The 26,847-nt window shown below is 39.8% G+C and overlaps 1 annotated feature.

Annotated features, from left to right (window-relative positions):
- Positions 7,763–8,262: an enhancer, noted in NCBI's record as "H3K4me1 hESC enhancer chr2:153183153-153183652 (GRCh37/hg19 assembly coordinates)". NCBI's record gives its function as "activates a minimal SCP1, AML or CMV promoter by ChIP-STARR-seq in primed H9 embryonic stem cells {active_cell/tissue: H9 hESC(primed)}" and the evidence as "EXISTENCE:reporter gene assay evidence [ECO:0000049][PMID:30033119]".

Raw genomic sequence — 26,847 nt, 5'->3', positions numbered from 1 at the left:
TTGACACTTGGTAGGCGGGTCTGACCATGACGGAATCGAATCAATGAATGAAGGAATGCATGCCTTCTGATTAAAATTCAGAAAATCGTTGCTGTTTTTAAAAGATCTAGTTCAGTAAGGAACTTCGAAAGCACTGGCAAAGTTCTGTTTCATAAACGGGGGGGTGGGTCCATGGGTGCTTGTTTATCGTTCTTTCTTCCATATATATGTTCTTTGGTGTGATTGAAATGTTTTATAAACAGATGTATAATTTATGGGTATATATAGTCAGACCCTAGGAGCTAGGTAAGGATTCAATTCAATTTAAAAAAAAAACCTGTCAAACACCTATTATGTATGGGATATTGTGTTCCTTGGTGGGAGAAAAAAGAGATTTGCCCTGCGCTGGAATACTTGCCAATCTAGTGAAGGAAAAAATGTACACACCCATATTTCATGTGAGATGGATATAATGATAGAGTGTTCTGGGAGACTTTGGGATGATCTTTGGCTGCAGCTCTCTTATTCCTTCACAGCAGTCTTGAGCAAGGTGTCTTACAGAAAAGATTGGACCTGACTCTGTCCTCTGGGGTGTATTTCAGACTATAACTACCCGTTCTGAAACCTCGGAAATAGAAATAGCCTTATAAGAGACTTTAGCCAACTGCTCATGTGAATGTTAAGGGCATACATCTGGTTGACTTGTGGCTGAACTTCTGCAGTTAGTCCTTTCTTAGTTTAAAGCAGTGTTTCTTAATCCTAGATGTGTATCAGATTCGCTTGGGAAGCTTTTTGTTAAAACTACACACACCTTGGGCTCTGCGTATTATCAGAATCTCCCTAAGCTGAGAGCCGAAGCCTGGGCCGGTGTATTTTCAACAAGCTCCCCAGGTGATTTTGATATGCAGGTAAGGTTGTTATCCTTTTAGTAAATAGCAAGTGTTTCTGGACAAGGTAGTACACCAAGATTCAATCAAGGACATTTCATTCATCTTTATAAACTTCAAGATACTTTAAACATAGTAGACGCCCAAGAACTATTTGTGGAATTGACAAGTGACTTTTTCCAAAAGCATATGACACAAATACACACAAATACATCATGTATGTTCTATTAAACCACTTCTAGTCTTTAAAGAATGGAGACAGTATAAATAAATTCAACTTAAAATTCTGAATAACTGTAACCTGTATTTCTAAAGCAGTGTTGTATCAAAGTTAATAGCAAATGTGTTACTGATCTGAGAGAAAAGCAGGGCGGTTTAGATACACACACACTCCAAACTAATGAAAATGAGAGAGAAAGAAAGCAGTTCGGACCAGGTGAAACATTTCTGACCCACAAATGTATTTATTTCCTTGTAATCTCTAGACATATACTTTGGATCTGATTGACTCACAAAATCAGCCCACCCAGAGGGTTGCCCATCTGGATAAAAAAGGCTGGAATTCTTTTCTGCAGTTGAGAAAGCCTTTTTGATTACATTTATGTCTCCCTGCGGCTATATTTCTGCCAGTAACCAAGACCTTTTTCTCCCCTTACGTCTTATCACATCTAGTCTCTCTCATAAGCTCACACTTCGAGGGAAGCCAAGGAAAAAGTGTGCAAATCTATGAACCAAAAGAACTTTCCTGCCATTTCAATGTTTGGAATCTCTAATATTTGGTTGTTATTTGTGATTATTAAGAGGAGAAATAAACACTCCATAGGCTTGTACAATTTCTATAAGAATCCATCAAAATCTTAGGAAATTCTTTGCGGGGAGACGGCATGGAGGGAAAGGAAAGAAAAGACATTTCTATTACCTTAATTGTAGCACTCTTCCTCCCCACAGAATTAAAATCAAGCAATCATTTAAAAATGTATATTCCATTTATTATTATTATTATATATGATTTGTTACAGCTCATGTGCAAAATATTGGCAAAAAAGAAAATGTCTGGGCCGGGCATAGTGGCTCACACCTGTAAGCCCAGCAGTTTGGGAGGCCAAGGCAGGAGTATTGCTTGAGCCCAGGAGTTTAAGACCAGCCTGGCAACATGGAGAAACTCCATCTCTAAGAAAAATGCAAAATTATTAAGAGACAAAAATGGCGAAGTATGATCTTCCAGGTACACTCCACTGGAAAAAAAAAGAAAAGAAAAAGAAAGCCAGTTGTATGGGCATGCATACAACTTCCTAAACACACTGTGTGTGCTCAATTCCCCAGGGTAAGAAGAGCACCATGCATGCAGAACGCCTACCCTAAGGGAAGAATCATGGGAAAGAGAGATGGGATCTCACTGTTGCCCAGGCTGGTCTCAAATTCCTGGCTGCCAGCTATCCTCCTGCCTTGGCCTCCCAAAGTGTTGGGTTTACAGGTGTGAGCCACTGTGCCAGTTTGATATTCTTTATAACAAAGCCTGCAAGATTTCTTCCCATACAGAATTTTCTGAAGACAACAAAGAAGCTAATTATTAATAATTGGATGCATACTATGAGATGAGAATTATATACCTTCTTCTAGACTGTCAACTTAGAACAGAATTCAGAAAACTATGCCTGTAAACCAAATCCATTCATCTGCCTACTCTTATAAATAGTTTTATCGGAACACAGTAAAACCATTTATTTACCTACTATCTATAGCTGCTTTTGCACTGCAAGGATGGAGTTGAGTTGATATGACATAGACCATATGGCCCTCAAAGCCTGAAGTTTTTACTATCAGGCCCTTTACAGAAAATGTTTGCTGATCCCTGACTCAGAAGATACTATATTTTGCAAATCGTAAGTACTATAAAGTGATATTTTTACCTATTATCTATGTGATGTAACAAAACTACCTTTAAAACCTAATGGCTTAAAATGTTTAAAAATATGCAAAAATTTTTTTAAATTTTTGGTGTGTGACATCCACCTGTCTTCCTAGCTGCTGCTAGGGAGGCTGAGGTGGAAGGATTGCTTGAGCCTGGGTGGTTGAGGCTGCAGTGAGCCATAGGTGTGCCACTCTACTCCAGCCTGGGCAACAGAGCAAAATCAAGGTCCTATCTTAAAAAGAAAGAAAAAAAGAAAAATGTCTATTAAAACTGTACTTAGCTTCCAGGGACACTGAAATGTTAGAACATTTATCTTCTATGTGCATTTCCAAGCTATGCCAGGGATGGCTTGGTCTGGGATTCCTCTACAATGGTGTGATTGCTTTCAAAGAAGCTTTTCCATTATTCAGGACAAATACTTCTACAAGATCAGCTGTTTGAGGGATTGGAGCTAAGTTTTATTGGTATCTCCTCAGGTTCTAAATGTAAGGAACAGCTCTGCAGGTAAGTTCACTTAGTGTCTTAGAAAGGCTAACTGAACTTGGCTACAGAGTAGTAACCCTAAGATTCTCCTTGTGTGTGTAATTATGTACAAATGAGGTCAGTGCTCTGTGAAAAATACAACTATTGATAGTCCTGAATCAAAATTGTGAAGTAGAACTAGCTGGGATTTTAGAGGGATTGCTATTTGTCAATTTACATCTACAACAGTTCTGCAAGATTGACATATTCACCTACATTTATTTGAAGAATATTTATTGAGCACTTACTATGTGCCAGGCACTGCTCTTGATTTGTAAACAAATTTTAAACATGAGTTTTTTCCCTTTTGCTTTATACAGCCTTCTTTAAACAGTTAACTTACCAAGATGTAACTTAACTCTCCAGTTCCCCTCCTCCTCCTGAATCAATTAGGAATGCTTTCACCACCCAACTAATAATGTCTTAAATAATATATTTTTCTCATATGACAAGAAATATGGAGAAAGGTAGCTGCCAAATTTTTTTTGGCAATTCAGTAAGGCTACAGCCAGTATCTGTAGGATGGCCTGGTCCTTTCCCATGTACTTATAAAATAACAGTCAGGGTGCTATGAATCAGTCAGGGTGCTATGAATCAAGTCTGCCTGTATTCCAGGCAGAAAGCAGGGGGGAAGGGGCAATGTCAGTGTCATGGCCAGACCCCTATTTGACTTCAGTAGGAAGGGCACCATGTTCAAGAGGCCGAAGAAGAGACCCAGAGAATGACCCAGAGCCAGAGAATGAGATATATATATGGGGCTTATTGGGGGGACTTGCACACAGGGTAATCCAGTGGTGGTGGGCTGGACAGGAGAAACACAACTGCTTGTAACAAGCATGAAGTTTATATAGAATTTCAGTTAGCACCTTCCCTGTAGCAACCTCCACCTGACAACCTCCATCTGACTCAAAACAAAGGGCCTCCATCCCCTACACAGCATGGGGGCCCAGATGTTCCACAGATATAAGGAATGAATGAGATAGGTCGCTTCCAGATCCCTTAGCTCAGAACTCCAAACACACGTTCTTCTTAAGCCACAGGGTCATTTTCAGAATGTGTTTAAGTTATGGCTGACAGGTACATCTCCTCTCCTATACACTCAGTTAAGCCTGTTCCTTTTATCAGGAAAGCAGGGGCTTGCTAGTGGTACATCAAACCACTGGCAGACTGCCAATTATTCCTCATTTTCCGCAGCTGAGTAATATGCCCATTCCTAGCTGCAAGAAGAGCGGGCAGAGCCAAGTGTAACCTGTGGCTTGACATATTCCTCACCTGGATAAAATCAAGAGTCTAATAGCAAGGAGGCAATAGATGTGGGTAAACAATGGGTAAACAACAATTATCTTCTAACTTCTTCCCCACATATTTTGTACCTTTGAATAATACTTTACATTTGTATATGACTTCATATTTTACTAAATGCCTTTATGTTATTTTATCCTATCAATACAACAGTAAGGAAGCATAGACCCAACAAAGTAATTTTTTTCTAGTTTATACAAGTGAGAGATTTGGAAATTAGGTATTTTGATTCACAAATCAGTATTCTATATTGCCTTAAAATTTTTCTCTGAAATTATCATGTATTTTTGTTTTTGTTTTTGTTTTTAGACAGGGTCTCACTCTGTCACCCAGGCTGCAGTGCAGTGGTGAGATTATGGCTCACTGCAGCCTTGGCCTCCCGGGCTCCAGTGATCCTCCCACATCAGCCTCCTGGGTAACTGGAACTACAGGCACATGCTGCTACACCCAGCTAATTATTTTATTTTTTCCAGAGATGGGGCTTCACCATGTTGTACAGGCTGGTCTTGAACTTCTGGCCTCAAGTGATCCTCCATCCTTGGCCTCCCAAAGTTTTGGGATTAAAGGCAAGAGCCACCATGCCTGGCCCATCTATTCTTATATATAAAAGCATAATGTGACTTCTGCTTTTGATCAAGATGGAATATAAGGACCACATTTATACTCACACATGAAACTAATAAAAAACACTGGACAAATATATACGAAACAACAACCCTCAAGACATTAACCATCAGGCAATGAAGAATAGTGATCCCTGAGAGATGAGAAATGAACATAGAAAGCCCTAGGACTACCCCAGCTTACTGCCTGGAGAAAGTTCCTAGGGCACAGTGCAAAGAAGGGGAACCCAGACTGAGCCTGGGGGCATCCTTGACTGGCGAGGCACAGCTGCTTGTTCAGTGAACCCAAGGAGCTAGTGTTCTCAGGACAGAGTACCAAAAAAGAGAGAGCTGCAAGAAGAGCAATCTCCAGAGATCTTCAGAGGTGGCCATTCCAGTATTCATTTGAGTACAGATCAGTACATGCATGTGAGGAAAAAACCCAAAGCTAGTCATTTAATAATAAAGAGGTGAATTCATCAGAAGAACATAACACTCAATAACAGCGTTTCGAAATACATGAACTCCGGCCGGGCATGGTGGCTCATGCCTGTAATCCCAGCACTTTGGGAGGCCGAGGCAGGTGGATCACTTGAGGTCAGGTGTTTAAGACCCGCCTGGCCAGCATGGTGAAACCCCATCTCTACTAAAAATACAAAAATTAGCCAGGCACGGTGGTGCGTGCCTGTAATCCCAGCTACTTGGTAGGCTGAGGCAGGAGAATCACTTGAACCCGGAAGGTGGAAGTTCAGTGAGCTGAGATGATGCCACTGCACTCCAGCCTGGACAACAGAGTGAGATGCCATCTCAAAACAACAACAACAACAAAAATACATGATCTCCAAGGAGAAATAGATCCACAATTATAGTCAGCAATTTCAACGACCCTCTCTATTACAAAGTCTATTCCTTTACCACAATGGAATTAAATTAGAAATCAAGAACAGAAAGATCAATGGAAAATCTGAAAACTAAATAACTAAAATTCAGGAACCAAATAATGTACTTCCAAGAACCATGGACCAATTTTTAAAAATTAAGGGGAAATTATAATGTATTTTGAATCAAATGTAAGTGAAAACACAACATATTAAAATTTGTGGGATGCAGCTAAAATGGCAGTTAGGAATTTAGAACACTAAATCCCTATGTTAGGAAAGAACAGGCAAGGTGCCATGCCTGTAATCCCAGCACTTTGGGAGAACAAATTAAGAGGATCGCTTGAGGCCAGGAGTTCAAGACCAGCCTGGGTATCACAGCAAGTCCTTGTCTGTAAAAAAAAAATTGTAAAATGAACTGACTGTGATGATGTGTACCTATAGTCCCAGCTACTTGGGAGGCTGATACGGAATGATTGCTTGAGCCCAGGATCTTGAGGCTGCAGTGAGTTAATTGCACTGCTGCACTCCAGCCTGGGTGACAGGTCCTGCCTTTCTTTAAAATAAATAAATAAATAAATAAATAAATAAATAAATAAATAAATAAATAAAAAGAAAGAAAAGAACAAAGATTTAAAATCAATGTTCTCAATGTCTAACTTAAGAAACTAGAAAAAAAGAAACAAGTGAAAACCAAACGAAGCAGAAAGAATAATGAAGATTAGAGCAAAAATCAATGAAATGGAAAACAGAAAAACAATAGGAAAATTGATGACACCAAAAACTAGTCCCTTAAGAATATTATACCAATACCAATGTTATCAACATCTATTCAGATTTACCAGGAAAAAAAGAAAAAAGACACAAATAACCAGCATCATGAATGACAAAGTTAACTACAAATTCCACACATCCTGAAAGGATAATCAGGGAATGTTTTGAACAACTATATGTCAATAAATTCTACAATGTGAATGAAATGGATATGTTCATTCCTTAAAAGACACAATCTACCAAAGCTGATTCAAGAAGAAACAGATAACCTGAATTGCCATATATCTATTAAAGTAATGGAATCTATAGTTAAAAATCTTCCCACAAAGGGCCAGGTGCAGTGGCTCATGCCTATAAGCCCAGCACATTGGGAGGTCAAGGCGAGTGGATTGTTTGAGTCCAGGAATTGGAGAGCAGCCTGGGCAACATGGTAATACCCCACCTCTACTGAAAAAATAAAATAAAATCCTCCCACAAAGAAAACAATAGGGGCAGACAGCTATATTGGGAATTTTACCACCCACTTATGGTAGAAAGGGTACCAATGCTACCTAAACAAACACTTCCAGAAAATTGAAGATGGATGAATATTTCCCAACTCATAGGTCAATATTACCCTGATACCAAAACTGATTAAAGACATTACAAGAAAGAAAACTATAGCCAACATAAAATTCAAAATTTTAGCAAATATAAGCCAATAATATATAACAAAAATAATACATCCTGACCAAGCGGGGTTCATTCTAGGAAGGCAAGGTTGTTTTAGCATTTAAAAAAATCAAATAATATAATTCACAATATAACAGACTAAAAAAGGAAAGCCATATAATTATATCACTAGACGGAGAATAAGTATTTGACAAATTCAACATCCATTCCTGATACGAGCCCTCAACTGACTAGGAATAGAAGGGAACTTGCTCAACTTGACAAAAGCTATCTACAAAAAACCCTACTTATATCATACTTAACAATGAAAGGCTGTGATGGTTAATTTTATGTGTTAACTTGGCTGGGACAAGTAGATATTTGGTCAAACATTATTCTGGGGGTTTCTGTGAGTGTTTTTGTGGATGGCATGAACATTTAATTCAGTGGACATTCAGTAAAGCAGATTTTTCTCCGTAAGGTAAGTGGGCCATATCCAATCAGTTGAAGGCCTTAGTAAAACAAAGATTGATCTTTCCATGTAAGAAGAAATTCTGCCAGCAGACAGCCCTTGGATTTGAATCACAATGGGCTCATCTCCAGCCTGCCAGCCCACTCTGCAGATTTTGTTTTTGTTTTTTTGAGACAGGGTCTCACTCCGTCGCACAGGCTGGAGTGCAGTGGCGCGATCTCGGCTCACTGCAACCTCCACCTCCCAGGTTCAATTGATCATCCTGCCTCAACCTCCCAAGTAGCTGGGACTACAGGCATGTGCCACCATGCCCAACTAATTTTAGTATTTTTAGTTGAGACAGGGTTTCACCATGTTGGCCAGGTTGGTCTTGCACTCCTGACCTCAGGCGATCCACCCGCCTCGGCCTCCCAAAGTGTTGGGATTACAGGCATGAGCCACCGTACCTGGCCACCCTGCAGATTTTGAACCTGCCAGTCTCCATAATCATGTGAGCCAAATATATATATAGTAGACCCTTGAACAATTCAGGGTTTGGGGTGCTGACCATCCCCCCAGTGTAGCTGAAAATCCACGTATAACTTTTGATACCTCCAAAACTTAACTACTAATAGCCTACTATTGACAAAAATCTTATTGATAATATAGTTCATTGACACATATTTTGTATATGTATTATATATTGTATTTTTACAATAAAGTAAGCTAGAGAAAAGAAAATGTTATTAAGAATTATAACGAAGAGAAAATACTATTTATTAAGGGGAAGTGATCATCATAAAGGTCTTTACCCTTGTCTTCATGTGGAGTAGGCTGAGGAAGAGGAGGAAGAGAAGGGGTTGGAATTGCTATCTTACAGATGGCAGAGGTGGAAGAAAATATGTGTAGAAATGGATACATGCAATTCAAACCCACACTGTTCAAGGGTCACAGTGTATATAGGCTGAACACTGGCTCACGCATGTTATCCCAGCACTTTGAGAGGCTGAGGCAGGTGGATCACTTGAGGTCAAGAGTTGGAGACCAGCCTGACCAACATGGTGAAATCCCATCTCTACTAAAATACAAAAATTAGCCGGGCATGGTGGTGCCTGCCTGTAGTCCCAGCTACTCAGGAGGCTGAACAAGGATCACTTGAACCGGGGAGGTGGAGGTTGCAGTGAGCTGAGATCATGCCACTGAACTCCAGCCTGGGCAACAAAGCGAGACTGTCTCAAAAGGAAAAAATAAAACCAACAACTGTGTGTGTATGTGTGTGTGTGTGTGTGTGTGTGTGTGTGTGTGTGTGTTTCTGTTTCTCTGGAGAACTCCAAGAAATACAAAGACTAAATTCTTTCTTCCTAAAATCAGGCATAAGGCAGGAATATCCAATCTCACCCTTTTTATTCAACATTGTCCTAAAGGTTCTGGCCATTACAGTAAGTTGAGAAAACAAAATAAAATGCATCAGGTTTGGCCCAGGTATGGTGGCTCATGCTTGCGATCCCAGCACTTTGGGAGGCCAAGGCGGGTGGATTGCCTGAGCTCAGGAGTTCAAGACAAGCCTAGGAAACATGGTGAAACCGTCTCTATTGAAGAAAAGAAAAAGGCCAGGCATGGTGACTCACGCCTGTAATCCTAGCACTTTGGGAGGCTGAGGTGGGTGAATTGCCTGAGGTCAGGAGTTGGAGACTAGCCTGGCTAACATGGTGAAACACCGTCTCTACTAAAAATACAAAAATTAGCTGGATTGCCTGAGCTCAGGAGTTCAAGACCAGCCTAGGAAACATGGAGAAACCCTGTCTGTATTGAAAAAACAAAAAGGCCAGTCGTGGTGGCTTACGCCTGTAATCCCAGCACTTTGTGAGGCCAAGGCGGGCAGATTACCTGAGGTCAAGAGTTCGAGACCAGCCTGGCTAACATGATGAAACCCCATCTCTACTAAAATACAAAAATTAGTCAGGCATGGTGATGCATGCCTGTAGTCCCAGCTACTTGGGAGGCTGAGGCAGAAGAATTGCTTGAACCTGGAGAGGTGGAGGTTGCAGTGAGCCGAGGTCATGCCACTACACTCCAGCCTGGGTGACAGAGCAAGACTCTGTAAAAAAAAAAAAAAAAAAAAAAAAAAGGAAAAAAAAAGTGCCAGGTGCAGTGGCTCATGCCTGTAATCCCAGCACTTTGGGAGGCTGAGATGGGTGGACCACCTGAGTTCAGGAGTTCGAGACCAGCCTGGCCAGCCTGGCCAACATGGTGAAACCCCATCTCTACCCAAAATACAAAAAATAAGCTGGGTGTGGTGGCAGGCACCTGTAATCCCAGCTACTCGGGAGGCTGAGGCAGGAGAATCGCTTGAACCCAGGAGGCAGAGGTTGCAGTGAGCCAAGATGGCACCACTGCACTCCAGACTGGGCAACAAGAGCAAGACTCCATCTACAAGAAAAAAAGGAAAAGAAAGAAAGGGAAAAAAAAGTATCTGGTCTGGAATGAAGAAGCCAACTGTCTTTATTAACAGATGGCATGATCTTTTATGTAGAAAACCTAACGGAATCTATTAAAGTTACTAGAACTAATATATGAATTTAACAAGGTTTCAGGATAGAAGATTGATATACAAAATTCAAATGTGTTACTCTATAGTAGAAATAAACTTAAAAAAATTGAAATTAAAAATACCATTTATGGTAGCATCAAAAATATGAAATACTTAGGTATAAATCTGGCAAAAGATATGCAAAACCTGTACACTGAAAATTACAATATATGGTGTCCAAACTCAGAAAACTTATTATTTTTAAGACATCAATTCCCTCCAAATAGATCTATAGATTTCTTGTATTCCAAAATGAAATTCCATAAGACTTTTTTTTGTAGAAATCGATAAGATAATTCTAAAATTCATGTGGAATTGCAAGGACCTAGAATAGGAAAAACAACTTGGAAAAAAAAAATACAAGGCCAGGCTTGGTGGCTCACGCCTATAATCCCAGCACTTTGGGGGGCCGAGGCAGGCAGATCACAAGGTCAGGAGATGGAGACCATCCTGGCTAACACGGTGAAACTCAGTCTCTACTAAAAATACAAAAAAATAGCCAGACGTGGTGACACGCGCCTGTAGTCCCAGCTACTCGGGAGGCTGAGGCAGGAGAATCGCTTGAACCCGGGAGGTAGAGGTTGCAGTGAGCCGAAATCGCGCCACTGCACTCCAGCCTGGGAGATAAAGTAAGACTCCATCTCAAAAAAAAAAAAAAAGGACAAAATGGGAGGACAAATTCTACCTGATTTCAAGACTTATTATAAAGCCACACTAATTAAGAGAGTATGCTATTGATATAAAGATAGAGTGATCAATAGAATAGAATGGTGAGTCCAGAGGTGAGACCACAGATATATGGACAATGGGTTTTGACAAAGGTGCAATGGCATTTCAGTGGAGAAAGGATAGTCTTTTCAGCAAATGATTGTAACAATAGTTGTACAGAAATTGGATATCCACATGCAACAAATGAACGTTTATCTATACCCACACCATTTACAACACAACTCAAAGCAATTGTAGAAATAAGTGCAAATTCCAAAACTATACAACTTCAGAAAAAAATATAGGAAAAAATCTTTGTTACCTTGGGTTAGGCAAAGATGTCTTAGGTATGCCAGCAAGAAAAAAAATGATAAATTGGACTTCATCCAACTAAAAACATCTGCTATGCTAAAGACATGGTTAATAGAATGAAAAGATCCACTGCAGACTAAGAAAAAGTATTTACAAATTATATGTTTGATAAAGGACTTGTTCCCAGAATGCATAAAGAACTCTCAAAACTAAGTAAGAGTACAACGGAAAAAAGACTTGAACAGATGCTTCGCCCAGGGAAATATATCCATGGCTAATAAACACATGAAAAGATGCTCCACATCATTCATCATTAGGACAATGCAAATTAAAACTACAATGAGGCCAGGCACCCTGGCTCATGCCTGTAAGCTAGCACTTTGGGAGGCCAAGGCAGGAGGATGGCCCTAGCCCAGGATTTCAAGCTTGCAAGGAGCTGTGATTCTACCACTGTATTCCAGTCTGGGTGACAGAGCAAGATCCTGTCTTTAAAAAATTAAAAACCTACAATGAGATATATTCCTTACAGTTCTGGTGTCTTGGAAGTTCAAGATTAAGGCACCAGCATCTGATGAGAACTTTTTTTTGCATCATGCCATGGTGAAAGGACAGAGAGGGCAACAGAGAGCAAAAGGGGGCTGAACTTCCATAAGGAACTCATTTTCATATAACAACATTAATCCATTCACTCCACCCTCATGGCCTAATTACCTCACATTAGACCTCAGCTCCCAACACTGTTGCACGTGGCCATACAAAGACATTTACATGATATTCACAGAAGCTTAACTTGACCAAAAACTAAAACAACTCAAGTGTTATCAACAAATGAAGAGATATGTGAATTGTGGTGTATATATAAACAGTGGAATTTTAGTAATAAAAAGGTATGTACCACTGATATACTCAACATGGTGGAATCTTAACTATGCAGGGCTGGGCACAGTGGCTAACAATTATAATTGAAACACTTTGGAAGGCTGAGGGGAGTAGATCGCTTGTGCCCCCGAATTTGAGACCAGCCTGGGCAGCATGGCAAAACCCCATTTCTACAAAAAGTACAAAAATTAGCCGGGTATAATGGCATGCACATGTAGTCCCAGCTACTCAGGAGACTGAGATGGAAGGATCAATTGAGCCCAGGGGGCCGAGGCTGTAGTGAGCTGTGAATATGCCACTGCACTCACTCCAGCCTGGCAACAGAGTGATACCTTGTCTCAAAACAAAACAAAAAAAACTATGTGGAATGAGAAAAGCCAGACAAAAAAAGTGTAGGTACTGTATTATTCCATTTATATAAAATTCTAAAGAATACAAACCAATCTATAGGAACAGAAAGCAGATCAGTGATGGTTTGGGGAGGTGGGAAAATTTGGGAGGCAAGAATTCCAAAGGTCGTGAGGACACTTTTAGGGATGGTAGGTATGATCATTTACTTGATTATGGTGATGATTTCACGAGTGTATACATATGTCATTCTTATCACATTGCATGATTTAAATATGTTTGGTTTATTGTTGATTAATAATACCTCAATAAGGCTGTTACAAAAAATAAATAAGTCAAAAATTAAACATTTTTTCTATTATCTTTCTTCAAGGAACTTAGAACACTAACTCAAATTTCTCCCCTCCTTTCTTCCATGTTAATGTTTTCTATTCTTTTCATTCCTCTTTGTTTCTAACTTCTATTAACACTAGCCATTAGTAGTGGTAGTAGTAGTAGTAGCAGCATAGCAAATCCTTATTTAGAGTTACCAAATGGTTACAAATTCATTTGTTTCTTTCATGCTACTTTTTTCTTCTGGATTTATTTTTCTTCTTACTGAAATGCATTATTTAGCGTTTCTGTCACTTAGAGTTCTTTCACTGAGAGTCATATATGCAAACTTATATGACAATGTCTTTTTGCCCTCAGTCTTGAATATAGCTTATTTGATTATAGAATTCTAAGCTGAAGTGTCCTTTCCCTCCCCATTCTGAAACTATTATTTCATTATCTCCTAACCCTTATTGTTGGTAATGAGAGGTCTGTCAGTCTAATGGTCATTTTTTAAAATACAGATGGTCCCTAATTTACAACGGTTCAACTTATGCTTTTTCTACTTCATGATGGTGTGAAAGCGATATGCGTTCAGCAGAAACCATACTTCAGTGATCCGAGATTGAGTTCCCACAAACCTCACCACTGTGTGCTAAGGTACTCTGGGGTCCAAAATAAACTTGAAAGGCAGGCTAAGCCACAAGGACTGCAATGCCTAGGTGAGTCCTAATGCTGAACTGGTCCCAGAGACAGTGGATTGCGAGGGCATGCAATCTACTGAGACAGCAGGTGGGGGAGTTAAGGGAGTGCTGGCCTCACCCCTCCCCTACTTCCAGGCTGCACAGATTGTAGCTCCAAAAGGGACTCTCCCTCCACTTGATGGGAGCAGCCAGAAGAGTTTGGAGGACTTTTTCTTGCATCTTGGATACCAGCTCAGCCATGGAAGGATAGGGAACCGGTCAGAGTCATGGGTCCCTCTTTCCAGGCCCTAGTTCCCAGATGACATGTCTAGACACATTAGAAAGGAACCTACTGCCTTGAAGGGAAGGACCCAGTCTTGGCAGGATTCATCATCTGCTAACTGAAGAGCCTTTGGGCCCTGAACAACCAGCAGTGATACCCAGATACTATGTCAAGGGCTTGGGTAAGACTCTGAGATTTGGTGGCTTCAGATGAGACTCAGCACATTTCCAGATATGCTGGCTATGGGATGAGTCTCCTTCCCGTAAGAGGAGACTTGAGAAAAGTGGAGGGAAAAACAAAGGGGACTTTGTCTTGTACCTTAGGTACCAGCTTGGCCACACAGGGTAGAGCACCAAGAGGGCTTTTGGGTGGCATTTCTGGACCTGCGTTGTGTCAGAGGGAAGTCCACTGCCCTAAATAGTGAGTCACAGGCCAGGAAGCATTCACCACAGGCTGACATACGAGACCTTGGGCTTTAAAGGAACATCAGTGGTAGTCTGGCAATAACTCCCATGGGCCTGTGGTGGTGACCACAGGATGAGGCTCCTCTGCCTTTGGAAAGGAGAAGGAAAAGTGGGAAGGACTGCATCTTGTGGTTTGAGTGCAAACTCAGCCACAGTACAATAGAACATCAGGTAGACTTCTAAGGTTTTAAACTCTACCCTTGCTCCCAGATAGCTCCTCTGGACATGATTGGGGCCCATGGAAACTTGCCACCTTGTGGGAAGGACATAGGCCTAGCTGGCTTTGCCACCTACTGACTATAGAGCCTCAGGGCCTTCAGTAAATATGGGCCATCCCTAGGGAGTGGTTAGAGCAGGCCTTGGGCAAGACCCAATGCTGTGCTGGCTTCAGGTCTGACCCAGTGCAGTCCTTGTGGTGGTGGCCACAGGGGTGCATGTGTCACACCACCCCAGCTCCAGGGTGTTCAGAACAGAAAGGCTCCATTTTTTTAGGAGAAAATAAGAGAAGAGAACAAGAGCCTCTGCCTGGTAATCCAGAAAATTCTCCGGGATCTTGTCTAAGACCATCAAGGTGGTACCTTTATGAAACTGCAAGAGCCACAGCAGTACTGGGCTTGGGGTGCCCCCTAAAGCAGATACAGCTTAAATCACAACACCCAAGTCCTTTCAGATATCTGGAAAGCCTTCCCAAGAAGGGTGGGTACAAACAAGCCCAGACTGAGAAGATTACAATAAATATCTAACTCTTCAAAGCCCAGACACTGAAGAATATCAACACCATCCAGGAAAACATGACCTCACATCAACTAAATAAGGCACCAGGGAGCAATCCTGGAGAAACAGAGCTATATGACCCTTTAGACAGATAATTCAAAATAGCTGTGTTGAGGAAATGCAAAGAAATTCAAGATAACACAGAAGAAATTCAGAATTTCATCAGATACACTTAATAAAGAGATGGAGATAATTTAAAAGAATGAAGCAGGAATTCTGGAGCTGAAAAATGAAATTGGCATACTGAAGAATGCATCAATTTTGTTGCTTTTTCATTTTTTTCAGACAGACTCTCGCTCTGTCACCCAGGCTGGAGTGCACTGGTGTGATCTTGGCTCACTGAAACCTCTGCCTCCCGGGTTCAAGCAATTATTTTGCCTCACCCTCCCAAGTAGCTGGGACTACAGATGAGCGCCACCATACTTGGGTAATTTTTGTATTTTTAGTAGAGACAGGGTTTGATCATGTTATCCAGGCTGAACTTGAACTCCTGACCTTAGGTGATCTGCCAGCCTCAGCCTCCCAACGTGCTGGGATTACAGGTGTGAGCCACTGTGCACAATGCATCAGTCTTTTTTTTTCTTTTCTTTTCTTTTTTTTTCTGAAATGGAGTCTCACTCTGTGGATCAGGTTGGAGTGCAGTGGTACAATCTCCGCAGCGATTCTCCTGCCTCAGCCTCCCTAGTAGCTGGGATTATAGGTGCCTGCACCATGCCCAGCTAATTTTTGTATTTTTAGTAGAGCTGGGGTTTCACCATGTTAGCCAGGCTGGTCTTGAACTCTTGACCTCAGGTGATGCACCCGCCTCGGCCTCCCAAAGTACTGGGATTACAGGCGTGAGCCACCGTGCCCGGCCTCAACATCAGTCTTTTAATAGAAGAATTGATCAAGTAGAAGAAAGAATTAGTGAGCTTGAAGGCAGGCTATTTAACAATACACAGTCAGAGGAGGAGACAGAAGAAAAAGAATTAAAAACAATGAAGCACACCTACAGGATCTAGAAAATAACCTCGAAAGGGCAAATCTAATAGTTATTGGCCTTAAAGTGAACATAAAGAAAGAGATAGGAGTAGAAAGTTTATTCAAAGGCATAATAACAGAGAATTTCCCAAACTTAGAGAATGATATCAATATCCAAGTATAAGAAGGTTATACACACAAAGCAGATTTAACCCAAAGAAGACTACCTCAAGAAATTTAATAACCAAACTCCCAAAAGTAAAGGACAAAGAAAGTATCCTAAAAGCAGTAAGAGAAAAGAAACAAATAACACACAATGGAGCTCCAATACATCTAGCAGCAGATTTTGCAGTGGAAACCTTACAGGCCAGGTGAGAGTGGCAAGACATATTTAAAGTGCTGAAGGAAAAAACTTTTGTCTCAGAATAGCATATCTGGTGAAAACATCCTTCAAACATGATGGAGAAATAAAGACTTTCCCAGACAAACAAAAACTGAGGGATTTCATCAACACTAGACATATCCTACAAGAAATGCTAAAAGGAGTGCTTCAATCAAAAAGAAAAGGATGTTAATGAGCAACAAGAAATTATGTGAATGTACAAAACTCACTGATAATAGTAAGTACACAGAAAAACCTGGAATATTATAACACTGTAACTGTGGTATGTAAATTACTCTTATCTTCAATAGAAAAACAAAATGATGAACCAACAAAAAATAATAACTACCACAACTTTTCAAGACATAGTCAATACAATAAATTATAAATAGAAACAACAAAAAGTTAAAAGGCTGGAGGATGAAGTTAAGGCATAGTCCTTATTAATTTTCTTTTTGCTTCTTTTCTTATTTATGCAAACAGTTTTGTTATCAGCTTAAAATAATGGGTTATATTTTTTGCAAGCCTCATGGTAACCACAAACCAGTAAACACATAATGGATACACAAAAAACAAAAAGTAAAAAACCAATTCATATCACCAGAGAAAATCACCTTCACTAAGAGGAAGACAAGAAGGAAAGAAAGAAGGAAGGAAAGACCACAAAACAACCAGAAGACAAATAACAAAATGTCATGAGCATGTTTTTACTTATTAATAATAACACTTAATGTAAATGGACTAAACTCTCCAATCAAAATACATAGAGTGAGCCGGGTGCAGTAGCTCATGCCTGTAATCACAGCACTTTGGGATGCCAAGGTGGGCGGATCACCTGAGGTCAGGAGTTTGAGAACAGCCTGGCCAACATAGTAAAACCCTGTCTCTACCAAAAATACAAAAATTAGTCAGGTGTGGTGGCACGTGCCTGTAGTCCCAGCTACTCAGGAGGCTGAGTCAGGAGAATTGCTTGAACCCAGGAGGAGGAGATTGGGCGACAGAGTGAGACTCCATCTCAAAAAAAAAAAAAAAAAAGAAAAAAGACATAGAGTGGCTGAATGGATAAAAAAGAAGACCCAATGATCTGTTGCCTGCAAGAAACACACTTCATCTATAAAGATACACACAGACTGGAAATAAGTGAATGGAAAACAATATTCCATGCTGATGAAAGCCAAAAAAGAGCAGGAATATTTTCTCTTATATAAGACAAAATAGATTTCAAGACAAAAACTATAAGAACAGACAAAGAAGGTCACCATATAATGATAAAGTGGTCAATTCAGCAACAAGATATAACAATTTTAAATATATGTGCACCCAACACAGGACCACCCAGATATATAGAGCAAATATTGTTAGAGCTAAAGAGGGAGAGAGGATTCAATGCAACAATAGCTAGAGACCTCAGCACCCTATTTTCAGGATTGGACAGGTCTTTCAGACAGACAATCAGCAAAGAAACATTGGACTTAATCTGCACTATAGACCAAATGAACCTAATAGATATTTACAGAACATTTCATCCAACAGCTGCAGAATACACATTATTTTCCTCAGCACATGCATCATTCTCACAGATAGACCACATATTAGGTCACAAAACAAGTCTTAAGACATTCCAAAAAAACTGAAATAATATCAAGCATCTTCTCTGACCACAATTAAATAAAAGTAGAAATCAATAAGAAGAGAAACTTTGGAAATGATACAAACACACGGAAGTTAAACAATATGCTCCTGAATGACCAGTGGGTCAATAAAGAAATTAAAAAGGAAATCGAAATTTTTCTTAAAACAAATGATAATGGAAACACAATATACCAAAACCTATGGGATACAGCAAAAGCAATACTAAGAGGGAAGTTTGTAGTTGTAAGTGCCTACATAAAAAAAAGAAAGAAAAACTTCAAATAAACAACTTAACAATGCATCTTTAAAAATTGGAAGAGCAAGAACAAGCCAAACCCAAAATCATTAGTAGAAAAAATGACATAATAAAGATTAGAGCAGAAATAAAAAAAATCAAAATGGAGAAAACAATACAAAAGATCAATGAAACTATAAGTTGGTTCTTCGAAAAGTTAAACAAAACTAACAAACCTTTAGCAGACTAAGAACAAAAAGGAGAAGATCCAAGTAAATAAAATCAGGGATGAAAAAGGAGACATTTCAACTGATACAGCAGAAATTCAAATATCATTAGTGGCTACTATGAGCAACTATATGCCAATACATTGGAAAACTAGAAGAAACTGACAAATTCCTAGATACATACAACCTATCAAGGTTGAATCATGAAGAAATCCAAAACCTGGACACACCAATAGCAAGTAATGAGATTGAAGCCATAATTTCAAAGTCTTCAAGTAAAGAAAAGCCCATGACCCAATGGCTTCACTGCTGAATTCTACCAAACATTTGAAGAACTAACACCAATCCTACTCAAACTACTCTAAAAAATGGAGGAGGAGGGAATACTTCTGAACTCATTCTATGAAGTCAGTATTACCCTAATACCAAAACCAGAAAAAGACACATAAAAAAAGAAAACTACAGGCCAAATTTTCTGATAAATATTGATGCAAAAATCCCCAACAAAATACTAGCAAACTGAATTCAACAATACATTAAAAAGATAACTTATCATGTCCAAGTGGGATTTATCCCTGGGATGCAAGGATGGTTCAACATATGCAAATCAATGTGCTATATCATATCAACAGAATGAAAGACAAAAAGATGCTGGAAAAGCATTTGATAAAATTCAACATCCCTTCATGATAAAAACCGTCAAAAAAACTGCATATGGAAGGAACATACCTCAACTTAATTAAAGCCATATATTACAGACCCACAGCTAGTATATCATTCTGAATGGGGAAAAACTGAAAGCCTTTCCTCTGGAACATGACAAGGATGCCCACTTTCGCCACTATTATTCAACATAGCACTGGAAGTCCTAGCCAGAGCAATCCGAAAAAAGAAAGAAAGGGCATCCAAATTGGAAAGGAAGAAGTCAAATTATCCTTGTTTGCAGACAATATAATCTTATATTTAGAAAAACCTAAAGATTCCGTAAAAAAAACTATTAGAACTGATTGGCTGGGCACCGTGTCTCATGCCTGTAATCCCAGCAATTTGGGAGGCCAAGGTGGGTGGATCACCTGAGGTCAGGAGTTTAAGATCAGGCTGGCCAACATGGTGAAACTCCGTCTCTACTAAAAATACAAAAATTAACCAGGTGTGGTGGTGTGCACCTGTAATCCCAGGCTGAGGCAATAGAATCACTTGAACCTGGGAGGCAGAGGTTGCAGTGAGCCAAGATTGCGCCATTGCACTCCAGCCTGGGTGACAGAGTAAGTCTCTGTCTCAAAAAAAAAAAAAAAAAAAAAAGACCAGGCCTGGTGGATCACACCTGTAATCCCGATATTTGGGAGCCCAAAGCAAGTGGATCACTTGAGGTCAGGATTTTGAGATCAGGAGTTGGAGACCAGCCTGGCCAACATGGTGAAGCCCGTCTCTACTAAAAATACAAAATTAGCTGGATGTGGTGGCACAGGCCTGTAGTCCCAGCTACTCAGGAGGCTGAGGCAGAAAAATCACTTGAACCCAGGATGCGGAGGCTGCAGTGAGCCAAGATCATGCCACCGCACTCCAGCAAGAGTGCAGCAGATGGATAGAGCAAGAGTCCATCTAGAAAAAAAAAAACAAACTATTAGAACTGATAAATTCAGTAAAGTTGCAGGATGCAAAATCAACATACAAAAAACATGGCATAAACATAAAACATACAAAAAATGGCATTTCTATATGCCAACAGTGAATGTGATAAAACCAACAAAAAAAGTGGTCCCATTTACAATAGCCACAGATAAAATTAAATACCTAGGAATTAACCAAAAAAGTGAAAGATCTCTATAATGAAAATTATAAAACACTGATGAGAGAAATTGAGAGGACACCAGAAAGTGAAAAGATATTCCATATTCATGGATTGGAAGAATGAATATTGTTAAAATGTCCATACTACCCAAAGCAATCTACAGATTCAATTAAATCCCTATCAAAATACCAATGACATTCTTCACAGAAATAGAAAAAACAATTCAAATATTTATATGGAAGCACAACAAAAGCAAAATATCCAAAGCTATTCTAAGCAAAAAGGACAAAACTGGAGGAATCACATTACCTGACTTCAAATTATTTTACAGAGCTATAGTAACCAAAACAGCATGGTACTGGCATAAAAACAAACACATGGACCAACAGAACAGAATGGAGAATCCAGATATAAATCCACACACCTACAGTGAACTTATTTTTGACAAGGTTTCAAAAACATACACTGGGAAAAAAGACAATCTGTTCAACACATGATGCTGGGAAAACTTAATATCCATATGCAGAAGAATGAAACAAGATCTTTATCTCTCACTATACATAAAAATCAAATTAAAATGGATTAAAGACTCAAATCTAAGACCTCAAACTATGAAACTACTATCAAAACACATTGGGGAAACTCTCCAGGACATTGGTCTGGGCCAAAATTTCTTGAATAATACCCCATAAGCACAGGCAACTAAAGCAAAAATGTATAAATGGGATCACTTCAAGTTAAAAACCTTCTGCACAGCAAAGGGAATGATTAACTAACTGAAGAGACAACCCATAGAATGGGAGAAAATATTTGCAAACTACTCATGTGACAAGCGATTAATAACCAGAATATATAAGAGATGCAAACAACTTTACAGGAAAAAGTCTAATAATCTGATTAAAAATGGACAAAAGATTTGAACAGACATTTCTCAAAAGAAGACATACAAATGGGAAACGTAAGAAACATATGAAAAAGTACTCAACATCACTGATCATCAGAGAAATGCAAATCAAAGCTACAATGAGATATCATCTCACCCCATTTAAGATGGCTTATATCCAAAAAACAGGCAATAACAAATGGTGTGAGGCTATAGAGAAAAGGGAACTCCCATACATTGTTGGTGGGAATGTTAATTAATACAACCACTGTGGAGAACGGTTTGAAGGTTCCTCAAAAAACTAAAACAAAGCTACCATATGATCCAGTAATCCCACTGCTGGGTATATACTCCAAAAAAAGGAAATCAGTATATCAAAGAGATACGTGCACTCCCATGTTTGTTGCAGCACTATTAACAATAGCCATAATTTGGAAGCACCCTAAGTGTCCATCAACAGATGAATGGATAAAGAAAATATGGTACATATACACAATGGAGTGCTATTCAGAGATGAAAAAAAAAAGAATGAGATCCTATCATTTGCAACAACATGGATGGAACCGGAGGTCACTATGCTAAGTGAAATAAGCCAGGCACAAAAATACTAACATTGCATGTTCTCACTTATTTGTGGGATCTAAAAATCAAAACAATTGAACTCATGGAGATAGAGAGCAGAAGGAGGATTACCAGAGGCTGGGAAGTGTAGTGGAAGTGTGAGGGGGCTGGTCAATGAAAAAAAAAAAAAGAAAGAAAGAAAGAGAGAGAGAGAGAGAAAGAAAAGAAAGAAAGAAAGAAAGAATTTGATAGCACAATAGGGTGTCTACAGTCAATAATAATTTAATTGTACATTTTAAAATAAAGAGTATAGGCCGGGAGCAGTGGCTCATGCCTGTAATCCCAGCACTTTGGGAGGCCGAGGCAGGGGAATCACCTGAGGTCAGTAGTTCAAGACGAGCCTGGCCAACATGGTGAAACCTTGTCACTACTAAAAATACAAAAATTAGCTGGGTGTGGTATGCATGCCTGTAATCCCAGCTACTCGGGAGGCTGAGGGAGGAGAATCGCTTGAAGCCGGGAGGCAGAGGATGCAGTAAGCAGAGATTGTGCCATTGCACTCCAGCTTGGGCAACAGAGCGATACTTCGTCTCAAAAATAACAAAATAAAGTAAAATACAGAGTATAATTGGATTATTTGTAACTCAAATGATAAATGCTTGAGGGAATGGATACCCCATTTTACATGATGTGATTATTATGCATTGCATGCCTGTATCAAAACATCTCATGTACCCCATAAATATATACACTTACTCTGTACCCACAAAAATTAAAAATTATCTTTTCCTCATTTTCTCTTTTTCTCCTTCTGAAGCTTACACATTGATTTTCTAATTCTATTTATATTGTCTTAATTATTCTTTCATATTTTTCATATCTTTATTCCTTTGCTGCATTCCATCTGATTTCCTTAGACCTCCCAATACAGAAACTCTTTAGACATGTTCAATCTAGCATTTTTCCTTTTCATTGAGATTTAAATTTCACTGATGCTATTTTGGTAGAAGTTCTAGGTGAGAGAGTTCTAGTAAAAGTTCCCATTCTTTTTTTTTTTTTTTTTTTTTTTGAGACGGAGTGTTGCTCTGTTGCCAGGCTGGAGTGCAGTGGCTCTCAGCTCACTGCAACCTCTACCTCCCAGGTTCAAGCAATTCTCCTGCCTCAGCCTTCTGAGTAGCTGGGACTACAGGCGCACACCACCATGCATGGCTAATTTTTGGCATTAATATTTTTGGTATAGATGGGGTTTCACCATGATGGACAGGCTGGTCTGGAACTCCTGACCACAAGTGATCCACCTGTCTTGGCCTCTCAAAGTCCTGGGATTACAGGTGTGAATCCTAGCTGGCCATCATTGTGAATTTTAATTACATGTTAACTAAATAATGCTACCTTCATAATTTAAAAAACATTGGTAGATTCCAACCTCTCCGACACCATTGCAGAAAATTATTAACTATTTGTAAATTTTAAAATTCCAGCTCTTATCTAACCTATATCTCTGAGATACCATCTTCTTTAGGCCAATTTGGCAAAATTCCATCTGGGTCATTTTTTAATGACATGAAAATAGTAACATAGAAACCATTTTATTTATGTAAGTTTAATATATGTGTAAATACACACATATAAAAAATATATTAAAGCTTGTTTTAAAATGGCTTATATACTAAATATATACTAAATAGGCATGTCTCTGTTGGAATCCAGACACATCAAGAATTATAAACCAATGGTAAAGGAGGAAAAAATAGGTGAAAAATTGAGGTCTTCTGAATGGGCTGTTAAATATTGGTACCCATCCCCTGCCTTGCTCCAACAATTGGCCAGTTTAAAAGCAGCTGAATTTGTGAATTTGTGAAGACTGTATGAGTTATCATCTAGAAGTCATATGAGATGCTCTGGATGCAACTCGTGCAAAAACAAGACAACATAAAACAAAGACATATCACAAAACAAAAACAATGTTATCACCTATTCTCATCTTCTCCTTCATCCTGCAGTTGTGTACTGTTTTGCCTCCCAAAAAATCCTCCTTAACATCCTACCTTATAAATAATTGAATGGGAAAGTCTTATAGCCTATGATATCAACAACAATGGCAGCAAAAAAGGAATATACTGCTGACTTGTGGTGTCTGCTTTTGTTTTGTTTTGTTTTTTGGGGTTTTTTTTGTTTGTTTTTGTTTTTTAGATGAAATCTCACTCTGTCACCCAGGCTGCAGCGAGTGCAGTGCAATGGCATGATCTCGGCTCACTGCAACCTCCGCCTCCCGGGTTCAAGCGATCCTCCTGTCTCAGACTCCCAAGCAGCTGGGACTACAGGCATGTGCCACCACACCCAGGTAATTTTTGTATTTTTAGTAGAGACAGGGTTTCCCCATATTGGCCAGGCTGGTCTCGAACTCCTGACCTTGTAATCCACCTGCCTTGGCCTCCTAAAGTGTTGAGCTTACAGGCGTGAGCCACCGCGCCTGGCTGCTTTTTTTTTTTTTCTTTTTAAGAAAGGGTTTTGCTCTGTCACCCAGGCTGAAGTGCAGTGGCACAACCTCAGCTCACTGCAACCTCTGGCTCCTAGGCTCAAGCAATCCTTCTGCCTCAGCCTCCAGAGTAGCTAGAAATACAGGTTCAAACCACTACTGCACAGCTAATTTTTGTATTTCTATAGAGATGAGGTTTCTCCATGTTGCCCAGGCTGGTCTCGAACTCCTGGGCTCAAGTGATCCACCAGCCTCGGCTTCCCAAAGTGTTGGGATTACAGCCGTGAGCCACTGAGCCCGGCCAGTATTTGCTCTTATTTGAGGGTGTACTCCCAACTTCCCAACTGAATGTTAACTTTTGTCCAGGAGGGCAAGAGTTCCTAAGTTGGGCTGCACGGGATGCCCAGGATATCCTATCCACACCTAACCTCCTCTGCAGATAAACACAGGACTCACAATCTCCAGAGCTATCCATCTGGCACCTTTCAACACCTTCCAAGTCTAAGAAAACAAACGCTTTGAAAAAAAGATTTTTTAAAACAAGAAAGCCCAAACGGGGCCTTTTTGTTTCTGGCTGCATCCACTTCAACGAGAAAAAAACTACTCGAGGGAACAAGAAAGAGAATAAGTTGGAGTAAAATGCAATTCCACAGATACATATTACACATATTACATATCTGACTCAACAATTTTATTTACTTTTCTTATTTGTTCTTTGGGAGAGTTGATTTTTAGGGGACAACTGTAAATTTCTTTCACAGGAAGAAAAGAGGCTTGCCAACCTATGTGAGTTAATCAAACTTTCTGAAATCTCCCATCCTTTCTTCCCTCTGTTGTTTAATATATGAGAAATTGCCTCTTCCCCGCCCCCGACACAGGGTCTTGTTCTGTCACCCAGGCTGGAGTGCAGTGGTGGCATCATAGCTCACTGCAGCCTTGGTCTACAGGCATGAGCCACTGCTGCACCTGGCCACCTTCTTCTTCTTCCCTTTTTTTTTTTTTTGTTTGGCTTCCAGAGAAAAAAATTTCTCAAACGCATGATCCCATAATTATTCTGTTCGGTGAATTTGAATTCCTCGACTTACAATTTATACTCTTAAGGCTAGTATCCTTGTAAGATCATGTGCTTGGTGGATTAAAGTCCTGTCTCTCTTGCTTACTGAGTGATCTAGGGAAAATTTATTAACTTCTTCAAGTCTCAGTTTCTACATGTGTAAAATGGAAATAAATACTTATGCCATGAGTTAATTTTTTTATTTTTATTTTTATTTTTGAGACAGAGTCTCGCTCTGTCGCCCAGGCAGGAGTACAGTGGCATGATCTGTGCTCACTGCAACCTTTGCCTCCCAGGTTTAAGCTATTCTCCTGCCTCAGCCTCCTGACTAGCTGCGATTACAGGCGCCCACCACCACGCTTGGTTAATTTTTGTATTTTTAGTATAGGCAGGGTTTCACCATGTTGGCCAGGCTGGACTTGAACTCCTGACCTCAAGTGATCCACCTGCCTCAGCCTCCCAAAGTGCTGGGATTACAGGCATGAGCCACCTCACCCGGCCTGAGTTAATTGTTAAGATTAAGGAAAATAATTTATGTAAACCAACCATCAGGATCATGCCTCATGCATGATAAGAGAGTTTTCCTTCTTCCTTATGTTCTTTTTTCAAGGTGGTAATGGATTTAATCTTGGACCTATTATTGAAGGAATATATATATATATATTTTTTTTTTGAGATAAAGTCACTCTGTTACCCAGGCTGGAGTGTAGTGTAGTTGTGTGATCTCAGCTCACTGCAACCTTCACCTCCTGGGTTCAAGCAATCCTCATGCCTCAACCTCCCAAGAAGCTGGGATTACAGGCATGTGCCACTACGCCCAGCTAATTTGTATTTTTAGTAGAGATGGGGTTTCACCATGTTGGCCAGGCTGGTCTCGTACTCCCCACCTCAGGTGATCCGCCCACCTCGGCCTCCCAAAGTGCTGGGATTACCAGTGTGAGCCACCACGCCCAGCCTCAAGGAATAAAATTTTCTGCAGTACCTGAATGGATAAAGGGAGAACACAAAGTAATTGTTTCAAATAACAGGAAGATATATTTACATAAAATAGAACATGCATTGGTTCATAGTCAAGAGTGCTTCCTAATGTCCTGGTTCTTCCAATGACGAAACTTCATTCTGGTCACTCAGTGTAATAGTAACCACGAAGCTAATGCCACTGTCAAAGAAATCCAAATGGTGTTTCCCAATCTGCCTGATAATAAGATCCACCTAGATACTTGTTGAACATACAGATTCCCATATGCCTTCCCTAGAAATTCCAATTCAGTAGGTCTTGGGTGAGCCCTGGAATTTGTATGTTTAACAAAAATTCCAGGTGGTTCCCATTT

Source organism: Homo sapiens, chromosome 2, assembly GCF_000001405.40.
Source record: "Homo sapiens chromosome 2, GRCh38.p14 Primary Assembly".
NCBI lineage: Eukaryota > Metazoa > Chordata > Mammalia > Primates > Hominidae > Homo > Homo sapiens.
The sequence above is the reverse complement of the archived record's forward strand: the minus strand, read 5'-3'. Positions and strand labels throughout refer to the sequence as shown.